Source organism: Homo sapiens, chromosome X (assembly GCF_000001405.40).
Source record: "Homo sapiens chromosome X, GRCh38.p14 Primary Assembly".
Taxonomy (NCBI): Eukaryota; Metazoa; Chordata; class Mammalia; order Primates; family Hominidae; genus Homo; species Homo sapiens.
The window spans coordinates 53,162,883-53,165,615 of NC_000023.11; the positions used below are offsets into that span (position 1 = coordinate 53,162,883).

At 41.4% G+C, this 2,733-nt stretch overlaps 1 annotated feature.

Moving 5' to 3' along the window:
- Positions 481–1,015: an enhancer, noted in NCBI's record as "OCT4-NANOG hESC enhancer chrX:53192545-53193079 (GRCh37/hg19 assembly coordinates)". NCBI's record gives its function as "activates a minimal SCP1, AML or CMV promoter by ChIP-STARR-seq in naive H9 embryonic stem cells {active_cell/tissue: H9 hESC(naive)}" and the evidence as "EXISTENCE:reporter gene assay evidence [ECO:0000049][PMID:30033119]".

The following is a 2,733-nucleotide window of genomic DNA, read 5'->3' on the forward strand; positions in this document are numbered from 1 at the left end:
TCCAGCAGAATAATGAGGAGATAATGGCACAAGTACAGTATGAACTAAACTCCAAGTGGAGAAAACAGAAGAATCAACTTTAAGACCTTTTGGATGAGCCTGTTTTAATCCTTCTCCTGCCCTATCCCAATTTTCCACATCGAGAGTGCCTGCCTGTGGAAACCGTGGGTTATGTGTAATAACCTTTTGTGGCTTCTGCAGGAGGTTAGTGTCTGCGAATTAACCTGAGCTCTAGATTGTCTCAGCAGAACTTTAAGCAACTGCACATAATGTTTTTCTTTAATAGACGAATTCTTCCCCTTGTTACCCTGATTCAGAAAACTTCCCGTTCCCAGTACTTCTTTAAAGCACTGCTCCCATTACCTCTTTAGGGCACCGACCTTATATCCACTGCCGGCAGACTCGTCCTGGGGTCCCCGTTTGCCTTGTCAAATTCAGTTCCTCTGCTCCAGCAGACCTTCGTTCACGTCCTCGAAGTCCCTGTTCTGGGGCGCCACTATGCCGCTGACCTATTGGACTGAACAAAGGGGGGCAAACACGGGAATAAGACAAGAGACAAAAGAGTATATTTGGAAGAAGGGGTCCGGGGTACCTTGCCTCTAGTGGACAAGGGCTCTGAGCTTTACACAACCCTCTGTATTTATTAGGCAAAAGAGATAGCGAGAAATGGGGGTGGGGGGGTGATTTTCAGGTAATTGTCCATCGGCTGTTTGGTTCACAGCAGGCTTTCAAGACTGCATCCTTTGAACAATAGGCGCTGATTTTCTCAGTAGGTAACTTCAAGGAGCCCAACGCCGGGGAGTGATGTCCCTCAGCAAACCTTTTGGTGGCAGGGCAGTGTGAGTTTGCCCACATCCTGCATTCATGATAAACTGTTTTTTGATCATATAGCCTCCAGCAGAATGCTGAGTTGGTCACATCCCACAGGCCTTCGGCTCCCTGCAATTGTATACCTTAAATTTCTGTATCACTAAGATGCCAATGTTTTAGTGAAAAAGAAAATAGAGTGTAAAATTCAATATCACCTATTTGTCTCAACTACAAGTACAGTGAGTATTAAACAACAATGACAATATAGAAACAAAAACAGAACTTGTAGATTTGCCCAAATTAACTCTCTTTCTCCAAATTTGAGGTGTATGGCAAGTTGAATGTTTGTTCTTTCAGCAATTGTTAGTTGCATTATCAGCTTAACACTTTCAAACAGTGCAGGAGGCATTTCTCCGTTCACATAGACTTAAGTACATATATACTGGGCTGTAAATAGTTTGCCTTCCATGTTTGGTCTCTAAGCACTAAATAGGTAGACTTCAAATCAGTCTATGTGACCCAGTGGCCCTCTCTTCAGAGGCATCAGTAATGCATTTGGCAAATGTCTTGAAACATGAATTGTAAATTGACATAGGTACAACCTTGATAATAAGAGTCCCAAATACGTAGTTTTTAAAATGTTAACCTTAGGGGGAAAAAATTATAATGATCATCAGCCCTATTTCCTGAAAATTCAGTTGAGGTAACCTCTGCAAGTCACAGCTCCACATTTACATACAGTTCTGACCCTCTTTTTGGCTGGGCTGTGGTCAATAGAATCTGAAGATACATCTCCAGAACCTTTCATTTGATAATCAAAAGTCAGCTCTTCTCCAGCATTTTTGGTTCTCGTGGAAAACATTGCTATTCAGGGAAGACGAGTATTGTTGTAGGAGTTATTAAGAAATTATTTTAGGCAGATAGAGAGGAAAAGGGGTCCTTGGGAAGTTTTCATTTTTTAAAGCATCTCCGGAAAAGTTTCTTGTAAAGCCCCAGCTCTTAGAGCCAGGCTGTGAACCTGACTCCTCCCAAAGTTGGTTCAGCCTACGCCCAGTGATTGGCAAGGACAGCTTGTGAGCTGGAAACAAAATGAAGTTGTTTGGGTTGGATCTTTTTCACGGTCTCAGTCACAATTTTGCAATGACAGTTTCAAAAGCTACCTATCACTCCTTTGAAAATACCTTGTACACTGGCGGTTAAGTCATAACCTAATTAAGGCTCGTTGGTTTCACCTGTGAGGTTACTCTTTGTAAAGTTCAAAAGCCAAAAATCTTAACTGCTTGGCGTGGCTGAAGTCAAGTAACAAGGGATTTAAAAAGAATTTCTTAAAGAGCGCTCAGCTTAATTAAAAGTGAATATTCAAGTTTTAGGTATATTTAAAAGGCCTTTATGTTTTTCTTTTCTTGGATCTTGTTTTCTGGAAAAAGGTTCTTCTCAGTCGGCTGAATTATTTTCTTCCATTTTTTTTTTTTTTTTGTCTTGCCACTCTTAGTGCATGCATGAAAGGCCCTGAGATAACTTCTGGTAGCATGGGACTCCTTGGGAAAAATAGAGGAGGTGCCACAGACCCTGTTTTGGGGAAAAACCTGTTTTCCTCATGAAACCCCAGAAATTAAAAGCAAATAGTTCCCTCTCAAAATCAAAGGCTCTGTTCTGTTTTGCATTATCTGATGGTTTTGAGTTTTGCGGTATCAGAAATTACTCCGCATTGTAAGAGAGCTTTGGTGTATAATAACTAGGTAAAAAATACCCTGTAAGGGGTGGCTAATAATAGTTATAAATCAGAAAAGCATGCTCTTGGCCACCTGAAAAATAAGGAAACATCCCCACCCCACACTGGGAGATGAGACTCCCGTCAGAGATGGGCTAATTACAAAATAAGCCAGTTGGCTTTGGGTTGCCTTGCAATGAAATGCATGGTAG